This window comes from Homo sapiens, chromosome X, assembly GCF_000001405.40.
Source record: "Homo sapiens chromosome X, GRCh38.p14 Primary Assembly".
Lineage (NCBI taxonomy): Eukaryota > Metazoa > Chordata > Mammalia > Primates > Hominidae > Homo > Homo sapiens.
Genome location: NC_000023.11, coordinates 132,798,536 through 132,819,900, shown reverse-complemented (window position 1 = coordinate 132,819,900; position 21,365 = coordinate 132,798,536). Strand labels below are relative to the sequence as shown.

General features: G+C 41.7%; 1 protein-coding gene across 10 annotated transcripts in view, besides 1 other annotated feature; it reads left to right on the top strand.

The window, feature by feature from the left end:
* HS6ST2 (heparan sulfate 6-O-sulfotransferase 2) overlaps positions 1-21,365 on the top strand; it is a 335,356-nt gene that overhangs the window by 141,470 nt on the left and 172,521 nt on the right. The gene's annotated exons all lie outside the window — the stretch shown is intronic.
* Positions 794-1,379: an enhancer, noted in NCBI's record as "OCT4-NANOG hESC enhancer chrX:131952550-131953135 (GRCh37/hg19 assembly coordinates)". NCBI's record gives its function as "activates a minimal SCP1, AML or CMV promoter by ChIP-STARR-seq in primed H9 embryonic stem cells {active_cell/tissue: H9 hESC(primed)}" and the evidence as "EXISTENCE:reporter gene assay evidence [ECO:0000049][PMID:30033119]".

Genomic DNA, 21,365 nt, shown 5'->3' with positions numbered 1-21,365 from the left:
AAAACAGTTGCTAAGCTACTGGGTGGGCTCTATCGGTGTGTTTTGTTGCAGTCTTGGCGTTAAGGACTCATGCTATCATATATGCAGCAGCTTAGACTAAAGGGAGGAAGCAAAGTGCTTGAGAGGGCTCTCTTGCAAGTTCACTTTTTTGTCAGGTCAAGTGCTTGGCTCTGGGATGGCAGGGGACATGGAGCATGACAACTGCAATTCTCTCTCCAGATGGGAAAGTAGAAGGGAGGATTTCTTCCAATCCTCAAATTCTTCCAAAAGAGAATGCTGTTTTGGAACCTTGTCTTTCTTTACCATTTATTTCAGAAAGGTTGGATCTCTAGGAAGCATGGGTCATACTCTTAGTTCTCTGGGTATTGTCTTTTGTACACATCACATGCAGTTGGTGCTACTGATGGGGCCTGGACACTAGCTAGTTCTGGTGAGCTCCTAGCTCAGTGTGCCAGACCGTTGTACTGTATTGTATTTAATTTTTTTGTCTCCAGCATTTTCTTTTCAAAGCTGGTGAATCCCAGGTTTTGCAAGTTTTCATTTAACAACATTCACATAATCCCTAAATTCAGCATGGTTTATAACTTGTTAGGTCCGTTTGCTATATACAAATGCCATACCTCCAATTGGTACTGAGGAATGGTTCCCCACTCCTGATTTAAAGGCATTAACACTGAGAATGGTGGAAAGAGAGCCTATTTCCCAACACTGCTTTGCAACATCCTCTAAATCTTTCATAATGGCCTAATCCACCCATTGCGCGTTGGTTCTCAGTGTGGGGACAATGGGGGCATTACTGATTTTAAACTTGTTTTCATCAACTAGCTCATTCTGTGTAGAGTTGAGTTTAGAAAAAAAAAACATAAAAATTAATGCAGCCTGGGACACCCTCTGTGGAGGATACATTGAAAATACATCTTAAATAAAAACCCAGGAAATTGTCCCTTCTGTCTTTCACCTGTCAGAATCAGCAATAGAATTCTATAGACCATTCAGTGGCATACTTAATTAAGCAACCTATCTGCTGAATGTGCTGGGGGTTGGCTGACAGTGCTTTTCACTGCTGATTTGGATGACAAAGGATATGGTGAGATACTCAACAGTCTGGTGGAATGGAAAGAAACTCCCAATTGGTCACACCTACCTATTTCTCTTGGCATGTTGCATTAGCTCTGATAATACAGAAAATAGACTGGCTTTTATGCATTGAGAAAGTCAGTGGACACCAACCTCTTGCCTTTTGCTCTTCCACAGCAAGCCCTGAGTTTTGCACACATTTCCATTACAGATGAATACAGATTTTAGTTGTAGGTGAGAAACATGAGCTTGTAATTTTCAAGAGACAAAACCTCCAGCTGCTTTTTTTAATCCTAGTGCAGAATAGTTCCTTCCTGATCATCATTCTATATTTTGATGGCAGTTATTGCCTATCCCTAATGTATATTATTAGTATTAGGGACAGTTTTGCAGTGTTTATCTGGTGCCAGACACATGCCAAAGCATCATCCCTCTTGCCAACTCTGTAGGGTAATACTCTATTTTGCAGATATGAAAATTGAGGCTCAAAAAACTTAAGTGACTTGCCTGAAGTCACTCAACCAAACAGTAAGTGGTGGGTCAAGCTTAGAACATAGAGCTCTTCTACCCTGCAGTCCGTGCTTTTAACCGCTCTCTTGCATCGTCTCTCTTGAAAGCCGAAAGAGTGTCACACAGTACAACTATTAATAACTAGGGGTTGGGGCACACGTGTATTAGGATTACAAACCTTTTGGGAGTCTCTCCCACAAAATTGGGCTCTTCACCTAGGTTTTGTAGAGCCTTTCAGTATCCATAAAGCCCTTCAAACTAGATGCAAAAATATGTGTGTATATTCAAGGGAGATAGGCCAGAGTTTTCATCAACTTCTTGAAGAAGTCCATCACACACAAGAGGGTTAGTAACTTCCACATAATCCTAAAGTGCATGTAGCACTTGCCAGGCATGAATATGATTCATGAATATGTGCATGAACTTAAGCAAACTCATTTCATTCTCACCATAGCTATCAGAGGTAGGTATGATTATCATGCCCATTTTACAGAAGGGGAAACTGAGACTAAGAGAGGTTATAAAGCTAATAAGTGACAGCACTGGGATTTGAGGCCAAGCAGTCTAGCTCCTGCTTTTAATCACTTTTGACTGCAATTTCCTTTTTATTTACTTGCATATCTCCAGCACAGTGCCCGACACATAATGGGATGTTTATTGATATTTGTTCAATTGAATTGATTTGCACACTGCCGGCTCTGTGTAGATTTCATCTTAGGAATCATTCTCAAAGGTGTGACTCCGTAAGTCTTGGCTGGACGAATGAAAAGAATCAACATGGTCAAAAGATAATTTATTAGAGTTTCTAAAGACAAATGGCTTGGCAAAGCATAGGCATTTTACTTTCAATCAGTGTTCCCTGGAGGGCTGTTACACTGATTTCCAAGCCCATTCTTCTCCCAACTGGCTCACTAGATTGTTCCAATTGGTTATGTGGTGCCCCTGAGTATGGGCTAGGTAACTCTGCAGGCCCCATGAATCTATGTGATGTTTCATTTCCTGATTACTATGCATAATCTCCCCTGCCTTTTATTTCCAAGTGACCAACCAGAAGCCACCCAAACCCTCTGCATATTGACATGATTCAAATGTAGGTCTCTACAAGGTATGCCAAGCTTATTGAGGGGAAGGTGGGGGGAGATGCGAATCCTGTTCAACCACCTCAATGCAAGTTGACTGTAGTTGAGTCTCTAGGATGGGGCATTCTTAAAAATCAGAACAAAAATTGGCTGTGATTGTGAAGAGTGTATGGTGAATTGGCAAGATGGTGAGTAACAAGGTGGAGCAGCCTGAGTTTTTAATCACCTTGATTACATGTTCCAAGGTTTAACTTTGTGGCCTCCACTGTTTCCCTAATTTTACCTGCTGCGATCTTATTTTACTTTTCATTTTATTCTCTAATCACCGCCAATTAGAGCCCTGAGTCCATGCTGGTTCTGTTGTCTGCCTCTCAGCCTAATGGGCCTCTTTGTACTGAGGCACAGAACCCAGCTGGCAGCGAGACTTCCTAGGGCCCGGAAGCTTCATTACTCTTTGTTGGCAGTGAACTCTAAAGTTGCTGTCTTTGGAGTTGGGTTTTCTCAAGTACAGTCACTTAACATTTGGTCTCAAAGTTGTTGTTTTTCAGATTTTTTTCTCTTTTTTCCTAAGTCAATCAGATGCATGAGCTAATTATAAGCCAGCAAATATTTTGAGAAAACTTCCCTCCAGTGGAGACCCTTGCACAAACTTCAGACTATATTCCCAGTAATTAATATGCTCCTTTTATTTCCTTTGAGGTGGAAAACAGTCATTGACAATCATTCCCTACCCATTTGGTTCAAATAACTAATTTTGTACCTGAAGACTAATTACAGTAGTGACACCATCTTTTCCTATTAGGTCTCTCACTTGAAGAACTCAGAGCAATTTATAACCTTTGAATCTTGGGGACTAGTTTAATCTGTTCGTGGGCAGCATAGCAGTGAACATTGTTATCAGAAATATAGTTAAACCTCTTTAATTGAGCCCCTATTAATTCAAAAGGTAATAATTCAAACAGTGTGAAGAACAAACTTGAAACGTCTATGACAAGAAGAAAGTAAGTTGGCAAAGGGGTTATTTAAACTGCCAAGTAGAGCACACTTTTAGAAGTGCCAGTTCACATGCAAAGAACTGGTAAGTACACACAAATTGTTCCATTAATAGACTCAGAATCTTAAGATTAAAAGCCCTGTAGTACAACTGTTCATAACTCAAAAAACATTTGTTGAGTAATGCTATGTGCTGGGGCCTGGGGATATAATTTTTTTGTTAATAGCTTCATTGAGATATAATAAATACACCATATAATTCACTCATTTAAAATGTACAGTTCAGTGATTTTTGGTATAGTCAAAGAGTTGTGAAACCATCACTACAGTCTATTTTAGAACATTTCATCACTCTAGAAAGAAACCCTGCATCCTTTAGCCATCACTTTCCCATCCCCCTATTACTCACAGCCCTAGGCAACCACTGTGGGGATACAAATTTGACTAAAACACAGTACCTGCCTTTGAGAGGATGGCAAGCTATTGAAAGAGACATCAGGCAGGTGAAGCGTACTTATCATAGCATCGTAGAATGTTGATATTGAGAGGCACTAAGAAGATCATCAGATATAATCTTCTCATTTCACATATGAGGAAACTGAGGCCCAAAGACAAGAAATGACTTGCCCAAGAACAAAAAGCTAACAGAGCCAAAATTAAAACTCATGTATTGTGCCATCTTAGCCTGTTGCAATGTTAATTACAATACAAACTTCTGGAGCATAGTAACAGTTGAGAGCATGGATTCTAGAGCCAGACTGCGTGGATTTGATTCTCAGCTTACCTTTTATAGGCTGTGTGACCTCAGGCAAGTTACTTAACCTCTCTCAGCTTCAGTTTCCTCATTTGTTGTCTTGAAATAATAATTGTAACTACCTTATAGGACTCTTGTGAAGATTAAATGAGTTTCTATATGAAGTACTTAAAATAGTGTTTGGCACAGAATAATCGATACATAAAATGATTGTTATTATTATTTCATTACCTAGTTATTAAATATAAAAACATTTCGTAATGTCCTAAAGTATATTTTAAATATTTGTTCTTCAGGTTTTAAATCCTGACTGTATTCATACATAATTTCTATTTCGTTTCTTCCAACATATATTTTTGAGTGTTAGGGGCTAGGTATAAAAATGATGTTTAAAACAGAGTTCAAATGCCTAAGAAGTTCAGTCAGGTAAGGAAGGCAGGTGAACAGATATGTAGCTATAAATCAAGGCAAGCAACAGGAAGTGCCCCAAATAAAGTATGTATGAAGCATAAAGGGTATAAGAAAGGCTTCAAGGAGGCTGTGGCATTTGACTTGGGTTTTAAAATGTGAGCCAGATTTCACCAGACTGAAGAGGGCGAGAGAAGAAGACATTCCAGGCTGAGGTAACAGTAGAAGTGGAGAAAAGAAAGTATTTGCCATGGTTTGGGAAAGGCTAAGTGTTGTATGTGTTCATCGCATAGGGTTTTGCAAGATGTCCTGGGAGACGAGCCTGAATATAGATGGGGCCGTGCTCAGTAGGAAAAGGGAGGAGAATTTATACTTACTGAACACCTTTTATATACCAGGTTCTGAGGTTGGGCGCAGTGGCTCACTCCTGTAATCCCAGCTACTTGGGAGGCTGAGGCACAAGAATCGCTTGATCCTGGGAGGCAGAGAAGTGAGCCGAGATCGTGCCACTGCACTCCAACCTGGGTGACAGAGTGAGACAATGTCTAAGAAAAAGAAAAACAAAAACAAAAAAACTATATAACAGGCTCTGTAAAATACCAAGTACTAGATATGTATGGGTAACTATTTTGATTCTCACAATCATCCTGAGGAAGCAGTGTAGACAGGTGATATAAATTGATCAATATCACACCCAATATGTGGCAGACTCCAGATTCAAACTGAAGTCTCTCTCTGATGCTAATGCTTATTCCCTCTCCATATACCACACCAACTCCTGAACTTCTGTACCAGCTTGGACGTTATGGAAAATGGGAGCTTTAAATGTTCTTGAAGGCCAGGCACGGTGGCTCACGCCTATAATCCCAGCACTTTGGGAGGCCGAGGCGGGTGGATCACAAGGTCAGGAGTTCGAGACCATCCTGGGCAAGATGGTGAAATCCCGTCTCTACTAAAAATACAAAAAAATTATCCGGGCGTGGTGGTGGGTGCCTGTAATCCCAGCTACACAGGAGGCTGAGGCAGAGAATTGCTTGAACCTGGGAGGCAAAGGTTGCAGTGACCTGAGATTGTGCCACTGCACTCCAGCCTGGGCGACAGAGCGAGACTCCATCTCAAATAAATAAATAAATAAATTAAATTAAATAAATGTTCTTGAACATGGGGAAACATATTTTCATTGCAGTTTATTTATCCAACTGAGTATTTATTCACTTATTTATTTGCTTTCTCTAGTGGCAGTGTAGGGGACAACTTAAATGGAGGGGAGATCAGAGGCAAAAAAGTCAATTGTGAGGCTTTTACGGTAGGTAAAAGGCAGCGAGGACATGAACTAGGGGCGTGGTAATGGAGAGGAGGGGACACATATAAGAGAGGGATTGACAAGACAGGACATGTGACCAATTTGATGTGGTCAGAGCAAGAGTCAAAGAGAGTCACCAATGAAGGCATGATTTTTTCAGCCTGTATGTTGTGATGGGTTGAACTGATGGACTGAGATAAGAAGCCTGGGCATCGGTTTAGAAAAGGAAGGAAAGTCAATTCAATTTTATTATAATCTAACTTTCTCTGAGTCCTCCACGTGTTCAGTAAGCAGATGGACATATGGGTCTGAAGCTTGAGGGAAAACAAGGATGGAACCCTGGGGAATATCTATATGTGTGATCTGGGCGGAATAAATGTAACAAACAACCTGAACCATGAGGAAACAGTTGGAGAGGTAGCAAGAGGACCAAGAGTAAGTGAGAGAGAGCATCTAAATCATGGGAGAAGGGAATTTCAATAAGGAAACGGAGGTCAACATTGCTAAGCGCTAAAGAATGGCCAAGTTAGATAGACTGAAAAATGTCCCTTGGATTTAGTAATTAAGTAATTTAGTAATTAAAGAGGTTATTGAGTAATAAGAAGCAAACCAAGTAGAATATTATGGGTGGAAATTATGTGGCAGTGGTTTGGAAACTGAATGAGGAATGGAGACCTGGAGACATAAATGTAGACAACTCTTTCTAGAAACTTGTCTGGTAAGGTATAGAGAGATGACAGAATCTTGAAGACAAACAGATCCTGAATAACTTTTTTTTAATTATGGAGAAAGTTGAGCATTTATTTTGGCTGAGAGGAGTGAGTCAGTGAAGAAAGAGCTAGTAAAAGGGGAGAAATCGGGGGATAACGGATAAAGATTGGAGAGGTAGCAAGAGGACCAAAAGGAAATAGGAAACCACAGAGAGATGGTTAGCTATGGACTTGAGCCCTTCCTCTGAGATGGGGTTTTGAAGCGAGGATGCACAGGGGCACAGATAAACTAAAGGCTTTTTCCAACAGAGTCTGAGGTATTTGTGATTGATTATTTTCTTTAATTTAGAATTCTCTGCGTAAGAAACCTTGCTCTTTTTACACTATGTAAAATCCTTATGGAAACAAGAACAACAAAACCAAACACAAAAACCTACTTTATTTAAATGTGGGAGAAGGGCTTGAATAATTTCTCCCCCCCCCAAAAAAAAAAAGATATACAAATGGCCAATAAGCAAATGAAAAGATGCTCAACAGCATTAATCATTAGGGAAATGCAAATCAAAATCACACTGAAATACCACTTCACACCCATTAGGATGGCCATTATTATTATTATTTTATTATTATTATTATTATTATTATTATTATTATTATTATTTGAGACAGAGTCTTGCTCTGTTGCCCAGGCTGGAGTGCAGTGGTGCAATCTCGGCTCACTGCAACCTCCACCTCCTGGGTTCAAGCAATTCTCCTGCCTCAGCCTCCGGAGTAGCTGGGATTACAGGTGTGCACCACCATGCCTGGATAATTTTTGTATTCTTAGTAGAGACAGGGTTTCACCATGTTGGCCAGGCTGATTTCGAACTCCTGACCTCGTGATCTGCCCACCTTGGCCTCTCAAAGTGCTGGGATTACAGGTGTGAACCACCGCGCCCGGCCAGGATGTCCATTATTAAAAGAAAATTAAAAGTAAGTATTGTTGAGGATGCGGAGAAATTGCAACCTTTGTGCACTGCTGGTGGGAATATAAAATGGTGCAGCTACTGTGGAAAACAGCATGGTGCTTTCTCAAAAAAATTAAAAGTAGAATTACCATATAATCCAGCCATTCCACTTATGAATACAGAACCAAAAGAACTGAAAGCAAGGATTTAAATAGATATTTGTGACTATAGTCAATAATAATTTAATTGTACATTTTAAAATAACTAAAAGAGTATAATTAGATTATTTGTAACACAAAGGATAATAAATACATGAGGGGACAGATATCCCATTTTACGTGATGTGATTAATACACATTGCATGCCTGTATCAAGACTGTACAAACAAAATGTGATATATATATATATATATATATATATATATATATATATATTATTCAGCCTTTAAAACAAAGTTCTGACACAGCTACACCTTGAAGACATTATGGTAAGTGACGGATGGGTGAACTTTGAAGACATTATGCTAAGTGAAATAAGCCAGTTACAAAATCACTGTATGATTCCCCTTGTATGAAGTACCTAGAGTAGTCATATTCATAGAGCCAGAGAGTAGAGGTTGCCAGAGGTTGCGAAAGGGAGGAATGGAGTATGGACTTTCAATTTGGAAAGATGAAAAAAGTTCTGGAGATGGTGGTGATGGTTGCACAACAATGTGAATGTACTTAATGCCACTGAACTATATACTTAATAATACTTAAAATAAGTTTTACCACCATTAAAAAAAAACTTTCTAGAGCCACCATTTTAGCTTGACTGGGGTCTCCTGGGTTGTTCGTAACCTAGAGTAGTGGCTCTTTCCACTGCTGACAGATAGCAAATCCAGAGCAGACACCTCGTGTAAGAGCTACCTCTTAGCAGAACTATGATTCAGGTTTGTGTGCATTACATTTAAGCCAGCTGACATATCACTTTCTTTCTCACTGCTGTGTACACAATAGTGACATGATCAAACTTGAAAGTGCATGAGAAACAATCACTTGGAGAACTTGTTAAAAATGCGGATTCACAAAATCATCTCTTCCATCAAACTAATGTAGTAGGTATATCAGCTAGTTTGTGCTATATAACAAGCCACCCCCAAAACTAAGTGATTTAACATAACTGTTTATTATTTTATAGCCTATGAGTTGGCTGGATGGTTCTGCTCATCTGGGCCAGGCTTCGCTGATCATAGATGTACTCAGCTGCAGTCAGCCAGTGGGTTAACCAGGGCTTGGCTTTTCCAGGATGGCCTCAGTTGGGATGACTTTAATCTGCTCTACGTGGCCTCTCATCCTCAAAACATCAGCCCAGGCTTGTTTTTGTGCTGTGGCAGGAGTCTAAGCAAGCAAGCACAATAATATGAGGGAACAAGAAGAAATGCACATGAGCTCTTCAAGTTTCTGCTTGCATCCTATTTGCTAACGTCCTATTGGCCAAAGCAAGTTACATGGCTGAGTGGAGATTCAGAGTGGGAGGGGTGTACAAAGAGGGCAATAGCAAGGATGTAGAGAGGTCACTGGGTCCACTAATGCAGTTAATCTACTACAGTAGGTTTCAGTAAAGCCTCGGAATCTACATATTTAGCAAGCTTCTCAAAGTGATTTTTTTCTTTCTCTCTTTCTCTCTTTCTGTCTCTCTCTTTCTCTCTCCTTCCTTCCTTCCTTCCTTCTTTCTTTCTCATGATCTCACTGTCACCCAGGCTGGAGTGCAATGGTGCCATCACAGCTCACTGCAGCCTCAAACTCACAGGCTCAAGCAATCCTCCCGCCTCAGCCTCCCAAATAGCTGGAACTACAGGCATGCACCACCAGGCCTAGCTGTTTAAAAAAAAAATTACAGAGATGAGGTGTCATTATGTTGCCAAGGCTGATCTCAAACTCCTGGGCTCAAGCAATCCTCCCACCTCGGCCTGTCAAAGCACTGGGATTACAGGTGTGAGCCACCATGCCCAGCCTAAAGTGATACTGATGCAGGCTATCCCTTAATATTTTCAGAAATATTATTCTAGTATCTCTTAACACCAAGATTGGAACCAGCATCATTGAACGTTCAGAAAACGAAGACTCAGTGGGGAAGGGAGCACTTATTCTTCTCCTTATTTCCAGCTTATGATTCAGGCCTCTTGGTCTCTTAGAGGCAGATGCTGAAACGAACACTCTCTGTCTGCTTTTCAGACAATCTCATATAATCATTTACTTGTTACAAAGAACAATGGAGTTGGATTAAACTGATAAAGTGTTATTTTTCAATGCAGGTCAGGAAGGCATTGTTGGTTTGTTTTGCATTGCTCATTATAATTTCTATTTTTGTCCTGGGGAAGCTCATGGTAATGGAATGAAGCATCGAGGTGGTTTATGGGCCATGTGATAGGATCATAAAGTTGAGGTTGTTGCTTGGACAATACCTTTCTTAGAATAGTAATCCAAGCAAAGAGAACATGGACAGGAAAGAAAAGAAACAATAAGAAGAAACTTCAGTTATTTAGCCAGTTGTATGAGGTTTTCATTGCTCAGATCCTTAGTTAAAATGTGGGATCAGAGGCCTGCAGGTAATGCCTGAGCTCAGGAAAGGCAGGGACCATGATGCTTTTGCATTCCTGATACGAACCACAGTGCCAACCACATTGTCAGTACTCAAAACGTATTTGTTGAATGAATTTCTGCTAATTCCTGGGATCTATTCTCAGAGATTCTGATTGAGCAGGATAAGTAAATAGTTTTTCACAGTGTGGTCCCTGAACCATCTGCATCAGAATCACCTACAGGGCTTGTTTAAAAAATGAATGCCAGGGCCGGGCATGGTAGCTCATGCCTATAATCCCAGCACTTTCGGAGGCTGAGGCTGGAGGATCACCTGAGGTCAGGAGTCTGAGATCAGCCTGGCCAACATGGGGAAACCCAGTCTCTACTAAAAATACAAAAATTAGCCAGGCGTGGTAGCACAGGCCTGTAGTCCCAGCTACTCTGTAGGCTGATGCAGGAGAATGGCTTGAACCCAGGAGGTGGAGGTTGCAGTGAGCCAAGATCACACCAGTGCACTCCAGCCTGGGTGACAAAGTGAGTGAGACTCCATCTCAAAAAACAAACAAACAAACAAAAATGAATGCCAGGATCCCACCTTCTACTTCTTGCGTTTGATGCATGAGAAATCCTAGTTTACACATTTTATTAAATCTGGGACTGGTTGTAACTGGCACTAATGTAGTCTTGTGTGAAGGTAGTGGTGCGATGGTCATTCTCTACCCTTGCCCCACCTGAGAGCCTCTAGAGGGAAGGCTGTGGTCCAGTGCACTGACCTGAACCCTCACCACATGCGTCCCACACATATGGAATTGGGAGCAGTCATTTAGCATCTCTTAGCCATTTCGCTCTAATTTCTTTGTTTGCCATTTTTGTTGACTTTTTCCTTGGGAACCTGAATTTAAACTCATGCCACTTTTTTGTCTTCCTTATTCTAGTGGGTAGGAATTTGATCTTGACCCCAAAAGCAATGATAGGTTCCTACAGTTCTGTAAAGTATCCATTGCTTCTGAAAGGCCTTCTTTCCCCATTGTCTTTGACAATTTAGATTTTCCAAGTGCTAGGATTTTGGAGAAAGTGGAGCCATGAGCCCAGGCAAGTGGGGTAGCCTGATAATGCCCTCCCATGACACATGGGGCTGGGGATGTAAAAACTTCAGAGTTTCCATGTCAAATAATCTCCTTTGCCCTGTGGCCTTCGGTTACAGGAATCATTTATATTACAGGCACATTTTGAAATATCAAAACAAATTGGACACTTTTTCCCTATTAGGAAGAAAGGCATGTTAATTTAAGTGTGGAGTGTGACATTTGGAAATGTAAAAAGAGGCTTTTGGGGAGTAGTTGGGGGTTTGAGTGGAATATCTCCCTTTTTGTATATCTCTCTTGTTTTTATTCATCCTGTGTCTTATTCAGATAGTGATTTTCATTCACCTGCCTGATCTTCTGGAACAGGGATTTTAGAGAAAGCCATTTTCTCAGCAGCTCCACAAGGGCGAGATTTCCAAATGGGCAAGGAAAGGCTGCAGAGACACATCTAGCTTGGAAGTAAATGCACCAAGCCAGCCAAATTGGAATTGTCTTATAGGGATCCTTGTGTGCTGTCACAGAAGAGTTTTCAGGAGGCTTTCCTTTGGGCACTAATGGCCAACCACTGCTGCTGAGTTTCTCCCAGCCTTCTGGAGGGAATGCCAGCCAGCGCACTCTCAGCTGTGACATGACCCTCCTAGGAGCTGTTCAATGCTAGCGCCGTTTTGCTCTGATGCCCAGCACCCTCTGCTTTTAGTCACTTTCCTTAGCGTCCTTTCGCAGTGCTTGCATTTCAGCCAAAATCGTGCCTCGTGACTTTTCTTTTCCTAGAGTTTTCGCTTCTCACAGTGAAGAATCTATCAGCTGTTTCCTGAATCCTTCTATGTCTTTTAAGGTGTTAACATTTTCAATTTTGCCACATTCAGCATTTTTGGCCTACTCTGACCTGAGCTCGATAAAGAGCATCAGAAATTGAGTAAAGACAGAAATAAGTCCCTATAAGCATGAGCCCTGGCACTGTCCACTTCCTCCTCCTCCCCTACCCTGACAGCACTAATCTCCCTTCAGCTCTACTCATTGGACCCCCTTTATTCTTTAGGCTCTCTTTAGTGATTTATCTTAGTTTAGCTATGAGAAGAATCAAGCTTTTTAAGGGCTTCGCTGAAAACGTAATGAAAGTTGTTTCAACTCTTTAAATTTTAAGTGAATTGTGGCCATCTCAGGCCCACTAGTTCATGTACCTGATACAATTTTTATTTGGAGCCACTGTATTCACATCTTCCTGGGACAGGATTTCACATAATTGGGGTAGGTTAATGAGTGTGGATTTGGCACTCCCTTTCTATAGAGAGTGGTAAGGAGCTCAGGCCTTGGAGTCAGTCAGGTGTGGTTCCAATCCTGGATCTACTATTAGGTTGGTCCGAAAGTAATTGCCATTTCGGCCATTAAAAGTAACCGCAAATACTTTTGCACCAACCTAATACTTAGTAGCTGTGCAGTCTTGGGTAACTCGTTTCACCTTTCTTGTGTCTCAATGTCCTCATTTGTAAAATGGGCACAATAGTCCCAATCACATAGGTTGAAGACTAAACCAAAGACCCCATTTCATTAGCTTAGCCTTATCCCTGGCAGATACCATGAACTCATATGTCATTATAATTATGATAATTTACTTACCCTTTCAATTAGGGGTATAAGATGCTACACAGTTTTCCTCTAGGACAGGGCCCGCAAACCATGGCCTGCAGCTTGCCTGTGAGCTAACAATGATTTTCATATTTTTAAAAGGTTGAAAAAAATCAAAAGAAGAGTGCCGTTTCGTGGCATAGGGAAATTATATGAAATTCAAATTTCAGTGTCCATAAATAAAGTTTTATTGGAACACAACTGTGCTCACTCATTTATATATTGTCTATGGCTGCTTTTGCTCTATCATAGCAGAGTTGAGTGGTTGTGATAGAGATTCTATGGCCTAGAAAGCCTAAATATTTGCCACCTTGCCGACCACTTGCCCTAAGACATTTAGCCATGTCTCTGGAACATCACTGTGATAGATAGTTCAGGAATTATTTGCATATTATCATCACTGTTATTCCAAAACTCTGACTGCGTGTGTTTCTGTGTGGAGAGTGATTTACAAAGGAAGAAATTATACAAGTCATAACAAAAAGAAAAAAAAAAAATTACACAGGTCCATGTAAGACAAATGAGATGAGGCTTTTGTGGCAGTTTTAGCTAAGGACTCACTTTGTGCCTTCGAGGGATCAGAAAGAATTTAGAAGTAGTAGCAATATTGGTTAGGAGAATTTACAGATTCTCTTGTTTTCTTTTCCTCTATCAGTACCTTCTCTGCAAGGAGGAGAGAATGGATGTTAGTTTCTCCTTGTAAGATGAATTGAATTGCTTGTGTTAGTGTACTAGGACTCTGGGTTGGTTGTGAATGTGGTATACCAAGGCAAAGTCTCATCTGAGCAAATACCACCATAACACCCTGTTCTCCCCCAAAAGGCAATCTCTGTAGAGAATTATAAAATCTTAGAATATCAAGATTGGAAGGAGCCTGGAGATCTGAGGGAATGATATTGATATTAATATCTCCTTGCCGATGTAGATACAATATCCTGTTTGAAGGCAAAACATTGTGTAATAAACCCAGTCTACTCAATCTATTCAACTAAGGTGGCCTCTAGTGGGTGTCTGAGTACTGGAACTAGATTTGAATACTTGTGAGATATTAAATTTCATATGCTTTACAAAACGTGCAGCCATCCGGGCACACAAACAAAATGCCCACTTTTGGATGTGAAAGTGGGGGCAGGAGTTTTTCCCATTTAGGAGCTAAAAGCTCTGGAGCTCTGGTCCTCAGATTCATCTTGTGTCTGGCCTGTGGTCGCAGTGAGATGCCTTTTCAGTAGGGATGAGGTATACTTGGGGCTGGGAGAGGGGGGACATTTGGAGGTCTGGCCTCCCAGGGGTAGGTATGTGTTTAGCCGGGCTATGCAGATGAACCAATCTGGGTGTCTCTGTCAGGGAAGAGGCTAGGAAAGCTGCTGGTGAGAGGGGTCAGAGACTGGTTTGCCCCAAGGGGGATGGGGGAGGCAGGGAGGCTGTAGAGGAGCTGTTGGGCCAGATCTTGTTGAGAAAATCTCTCAGACCCGAGACTTCTCCCCTCCTCTCATTTCCTATATTTGGGCTTTCACACTTAAGGGACTGGTCTTAAGGAGAGATGTACTTTTTAACATTTGATTTGCCCATGTTGTGCCCCGTACTTCTGCGTACCACCAGAAGACCACAATGACAAAGACCAGCGAAGGCCAAAGGTGGCCATGTGTGTATAGAATTGACACTCCAAGGTCACCGGATCTGCAATCTACCAAACAGTCTTGACTCACACCCTCAGGTTTCATATTTGAACCTCCTTTGCAGGGCTGGTCCTGGCTCCTTTCACCTTCTAGACTGCCTTTCCTTTCTTACTGTCCTCTGAGAGGCACACTGAACATCTGTGGACAGTGGCAGTTGGTAGCTATATATATACATGTATATATATCAGAATTTCCTCTTTGTACACTGTAGCAGTGGACTTCCATTTTGATGATATTATACAGGGTATAAATCTGCCTATCTCAACAAGTTGCTTTAAAGAAGAATCAGTTTCAATGTCCAAACTACCACTTCAGTAAAGTAACAGAGCCAATGCCCTGTGTCTTTTTCCTTTATTTATTTATTTATTTTGACATAGGTTCTTGTTCTGTTGCTCAGGCTGGAGTGTAGTGGTTTGATCTCGGCTCATAGCAGCCTCAACCTCCCGGGCTCAAGCAATCCTCCCATCTCAGCCTCCCAAGTAGCTGGGACTATAGGCACATAGCTAACTAATTTTTAAAAATTTTTTATTTTGTAGAAATGAGGTTTCACCATGTTGCCCAGGCTGGTCTCAAACTTCTGAGCTCAAGCGATCCTCCTGCCTCAGCCTCCCAAAGTGCTGGGATTACAGGTGTGAACCACCATGCCCACCCCCCTTTTTCTTATGAATGGGTGAAGCAGGAGAAGAGCAGTGAGTATGGCTAGAGATGCTGACACCATGTAGTATAGCAACTTGTGGGCTTCTGCCTTCTTCCTCAAGATGAGGCCAAGAAGAGCACTGGGACTTCCAGCCTCTGGTGCATGTGTTTCCTCTGGGCTAGGTGGTATGTGGTGTCCAGGTATCTGCACACTTGCTCGGGGCAGGGTTCTAAGCAGTGGATGGTGGCAATGGATATGGCCAACAAGAGACAATCATGGCAGTGTCACTGAGCTGTGAACTCCCACAGAATCTTTTGGCCTCCCAAGCTCAGAGAAGAAGCTTAAGGGAGAAAACCTGTCAACAGTCCTTTTGCCATATTTATTCACTGGAGTCACACTTTTATAACAGGCATAGGCTCAAAGGTGTAAATAAAGCCAATTATTTTAGTTCAGCATTGATTTTCATATATAAATTATCAATATAGTTTTGATTTAGTAATAAAAATAACAGCCTGGAGTTTTATCCCCTGCCATGGCCAGTGAGAGCTGTTTTTAAGCTGTTTCTTTGTACAGGGAAGCATGTGTCAAAGTCACACCTCCTGATTAATAAAAACAATAACCTTTTAGTCCTTCCTATGTTCCAGGCATTGTGCAGAGGGCTCACAAATACTATTTCATGTAATGCTACTCATAATTCTCTGAGGTAGATTAGTATTTGTATACGTATGTTATAGACGGGGAAGCTGAGGCTCAGGAAATCACTTACCCAAGACAGCAGCTGGCAATTCTAAGAAAATTTTTGAAATTCTAAAATGCATCTGAGGACCTGGCACTGTGGCTCATGCCTGTAATCCCAGCACTTTGAGAGGCCGAGGTGGGTGGATCACTTGAGGCCAGGAGTTCGAGACTAGCCTGGCCAACATGGCGAAACCCCATCTCTACTAAAAATACAAAAATTAGCCAGGAATGGTGGTGGGCACCTGTAATCCCAGTTACTCAGGAGGCTAAGGCACGAGAATCGCTTGAACCAGAGAGGTGGAGGCTGCAGTGAGCCGAGATTGTGCCACTGCACTCCAGCCTGGGTGACAAAGCAAGACTCTGACTCAAATAATAAAATAAAATAAAGCACGTCTGCTGCCTTCACACCCCATTTTCTGTACCATGCATGTCAACTTCTATAGGGCCCTTCTCTTGTATGGGTGTCCATTAGGTCATATCTTGCAGATATGGCAGAGCTAGAGACCTAGAGGTAAAGCAAGATACTAGGAAAACAAGTAAAAGGGAGCTATTTTCTGGGAGACTAGGAAAAAGAAGAGACTAGGAAAAGTAAGTGAAGAAGCTCTAACTAGTAGGGGGCCAATAAGGGGCAAACAAAGGAGAGAAGCTGGCTGCTTAGCTAACCAAGTAGAGAGCCTCGGATCTGGAAGGAACTGGACCGAACATCTGTAACTGGGCAGGGCTGGCCTTGGGCCTGTCTTGACTTCCTTGAAATGTCTCTTTTACCTGGCCTCCTTCTCATGGCTGTCATCAAGCAGCCCTGTTGATCATGTTCCTGAGGAAGGACAGAATGGGGTTGGGGAGATTAAGTTTATTAGCAAGGCAATTTCCTCTAGGGAGACCCCAAACCTGGCTTGGTAACTACAGTGAAAGGAGAGCGTTTGAGCCCCTTCCCCCTTCTGCTTGATCTCCTCTCCTTCACCAGGCTTTCTTCAGACCTGGTTCCAATCATTATAAGGCAGATCTAAAGCCACTCTTCCTGACACTGAAACTTTGCTGAGCCTGGAAAAATCACAGAGGCTCAGTTTGGTGTTTTTGCATGCAAAATACGAGAGGCAGAGGTGAAGGTGCATTCCTGGTGCCCTGCGGTTCCCAGGCAGTATCTGAGTGCATTTTCACCTGTTATCGCTTGCCTTTCAAATATTCGTTAGCTCCCCCAGAAGTTTAGCCACGAGTCATCTTCTAGGGGAAATAGCTGCTCTGCTCTGTTTGTAGAATCTCATAGTTTATTTTGGAATGAAGATGTATTTTCCTGGAAAAGTGTTACTACTTTACAGTGTCCCCTTCATCTGCGAAACTGAAAAGGCAGGCAGCCTTGCTGTATGAGAAGACCACACACTTGCGGACAGAAAAAAGATGCATCCGGGCTTCTCTTCAAGTCCAAGACAATTGATGACAAAGGAAGTATGACACAAACTTATTGAGATCTGTTATTATCCTTGTGCTGCCCGGGTTTTAGACAAAAACAATAAGCAGATTACATAAGTGAGTGTCACCACTTTTGCATAACCAAGGTTTCATTTTTCTCTTCTCACTTGGTTAGTCTTCCGTGAGCTAAGCAACATCATGGTAGTTTTCTGTAGTACCACTTATGGCTTTCCTTGTTATCATCACCTGCCTTTGACACATGCCTTCATTAATGAGTTGATATATTTAATTATATGTTATACAGATATTTTATATTACAAGCAATGTTAATTGCATTCATTCAGAACAGCTCCCAATTAAAATCTATAAACTACTTAGACCTCTATAAAAATCCCACCATTTACCTTACAGCTTCACATTAATATTTACCCTGGAGAGGATAAACATCTCATCCTGTATTTATCTGTTAGATCATTTTTGTTGTCATAAAAAACAAAAGCCACATGTTTAATTGGATCCCTTCGGTATGAATTTTTAAAATAATAGTAGGAATCCTTACTTGGGAAGATGGTTTCATAGGGCATCCTAAAACCATCCTTTGTTCCAAATCCTTTGAGGATGCACACATTTAATGTTTTCCTTCTTACTACTATGCTATGAACTTAACAGTGCTACATGCTAAAGTACAGGCAGCAGAAGTTCTCTGGGAAAGTGGAGATCCCTAGCAAGTAAGGAACCCAAGAGAAGGCCATTCTAAGCTGTAGTCCCTTGTTGGACCAAGGGAGGAAGGAAACAGATAGCATCCACCTGGCGCTGCAATTCTACTGGCCTGTGGGGTGGTCTGGCTTTAGGAAGCTCACTGTGTAATCCATCAGAGGACAATCCTGCCAAGTCTTCTTTTCAAGTAAAAAATGTTAATGTTTCTTTCCATACTTTGTCTCATAATCAATATTCAATTTTCAAGGCAGTAAAACTAATCAAAGAATATAAAATGAATCCAACACAAGAGAAAGGAGGGAGAATGAGTAAGCTGCAAATGGGACTGAGCAAGAAAATAGGAGGATATTATAACTATAGAATTTTTTTTTTTTGAGACAGAGTCTTGCTTTGTCACCCAGGCTGGAGTGCAGTGACGCGATCTCGACTCACTGCAACCTCTGCCTCCCGGGTTCAAGCAATTCTCTTCTTCCTGTTGGTGAATTTCTCCCAGGAGGCATGAGCCAAGATCCTGTTTCATGGGTTTCTGGGTATACCCCTTGAAACACCAGAGTCAGGAGTCAGGAACAACACCTAGTGTATTAGTTGGTTTTCACACTGCTGTAAATAACTGCCCGAGACTGGATAATTTATAAAGAAAAGAGATTTAATGGACTCAAAGTTCCACAGGGCTGGGGAGGCCTCAGGAAACTTACAATTATGGCTGAAGGGGAAGCAGGAACGTCTTACATGGCAGCAGGTGAGAGAAGAAAGTGAAGGAGGAACAGCCAAACACTTATAAAACCATCAGATGTCATGAGAATTCACTCACTGTCACAAGAACAGCATGGGAGAAACCACCCCTATGATCCAATCACTTCCCACCAGGTTTCTCCCTCAACACCTGGGGATTACAATTTGAGATGAGATTTGGGTGGGGGCACAAAACCAAACTCTGTTACCCAGTTAGAAACCGGCCAGTCAGCATGTAGTCCCTCTGGAGCTCACAATTGCAGATCATGGTATGATGGAGTTCTCCACTGCACGGTAGGCTCTGGGGCTTAGGCAGGCATATGGGGCAGCAGTCAACATAGGGGATGGTGGGAGTGAGGTGCTCTACAGCAGTGGTCCTCGACTTTTTTAGCACCAGGGACCAGTTTCATGGAAAACAATGTTTCCATGGGCTTAGGGGGTGGGAGATGGTTTCAGGATGCTTCAAGTGCATTACATTTATTGTGCACTTTATTTTGATAATTATTATGTTGTAATATATAATGAAATAATTATACAACTCACTATAATGTGGAATCAGTGGGAGCCCTGAGCTTGTTTTCCTGCAATTAGATGGTCCCATCTGGAGGTGATGGGAGACAGTGACAGATCATCAGGCATTAGATTCTCATAAAGAGCACACAACTTAGATCCCTCACATGTGCAGTTCACAATAGGGTTTGCACTGCCATGAGAATCTAATGCCACTACTGATCTGACTGGAGGCAGAACAGAGCTCAGGCAGTAATGCAAGTGATAGGGAATGGCTGTAAATACAGATGAAGCTTAGCTCGCTCATCTACCGCTCACCTCCTGCTGTGTGACCCGGTCCATGGCCTGAGGGTTGGGGACCCATGCTCTACAGCACTGTTATGGCATGTTCCAGACTCTTGAGAATCGGTCCTTCCTTGCATCTCACCTCACCTTCAACTTTATTGTTCACTTTTAGTTCAACCTTTGCCAGCAGGTAAAGAGGTAAAGAGAACAATGTGTCCTGTGAAGTATTTATGAGAGAAGCAGATAAATCATTAGATTTATTGAGAACTTTTGAAGTGCACTAGGCATCTCACACACATTACTTCATTGAATCACCTCCATAATCCTATGTGGTTGATAATTATATTATCCCCACATTCTGGATGAAGAAAGTGGAGCTCAGAGAGGTTATCATGACATACATACTGCTCACAAAACCATTCTGTGGCAGAAGTAGATTCAACAGCTCAAAAATAAAAGAGGGCTGGGCACAGCAGCTCACACCTGTAATCCTAGCACTTTTGGAGGCTAAAGTGGGTGGATTGCTTGATCCCAGGAGTTTGAGACCAGCCTGGGCAACATAGTGAGACCCTGTTTCTACCAAAAAATGCAAAAAACAAAAATTAGGCAGGCGTGATGGCATGCACCTGTAGTATAGCTTCTTGGGAGGCTGAGGTTGGAGGATTGATTAAGCCTGGAAGGTTGAGGCTGCAGTGAGCAGTGATTGTACCACTGCACTCCAGCCTGGATGACAGGGCAAGACCCTGTCTCAAAATAATTAAAAAAAAAAAAAGTAAAAGAGAACATGATGATTTATGGGGAAATTGACACTAAAAATGTCTTGGATGAAATAAAGTGACCCAGGCATCAGGATTTAGGGGCTTACATGGGATAACACTGTTCTACTCCATAGCACCTCACCTGTCTAATTAGTGTCTAATTAGAGACATTTTTAATCAGATAAGTGCATTTATGAACATTGCAATTTTTCCCAAAGTTTAACCATCAGTTTCTCTGAAAGGACTTCTAAAGCCTAGAAACTCACCTCTTGTTAATAGTGCTGCTCTTCCTCTTAAGGATTCTGCCCAGGAGTTCAACACCAGCCTGGGCAACATAGGTAGAACTTTGTAAAGTGGAATAATGCTATTCTAATAACTTATTTAGCAAACATTTACTGAGCAATTACCCTGGGTCAGGCCTCCTTGCAAGGTTCTGGGGACATAGACATGAGGGAATTCTCACCCTTGAGGCCATCACAGTCAGCTAGGGAAGAAAAGAAGTAAACAGATCATTATAAAACCCTGAGATAAGTGCTACTGTGAAGGTATGTAACTCTGTCCCCTGGGTGCTTTGGAAGTGTGAGAGCTTGGGACATTGTAGCAGGATGTTGGTAGCTCCATCAGATCTGGAGTCTTTTCCACCTTGAACTTGAGATCAGCCTAAAGCCAAACACTTGACTTTTAAATGATTTGATTTTAACAGAATCAACTTTTTATTATGCAAACTCAAAAGATGTATTCTGTAGAGTTTTACTGAGCCTTTTTTCCCTTTAAAATAACTAACTATATGTTTTGACATGCTTCAGGGGACTTTTTTTGTAAAATAGCACAAATAGGACAATACTGGAA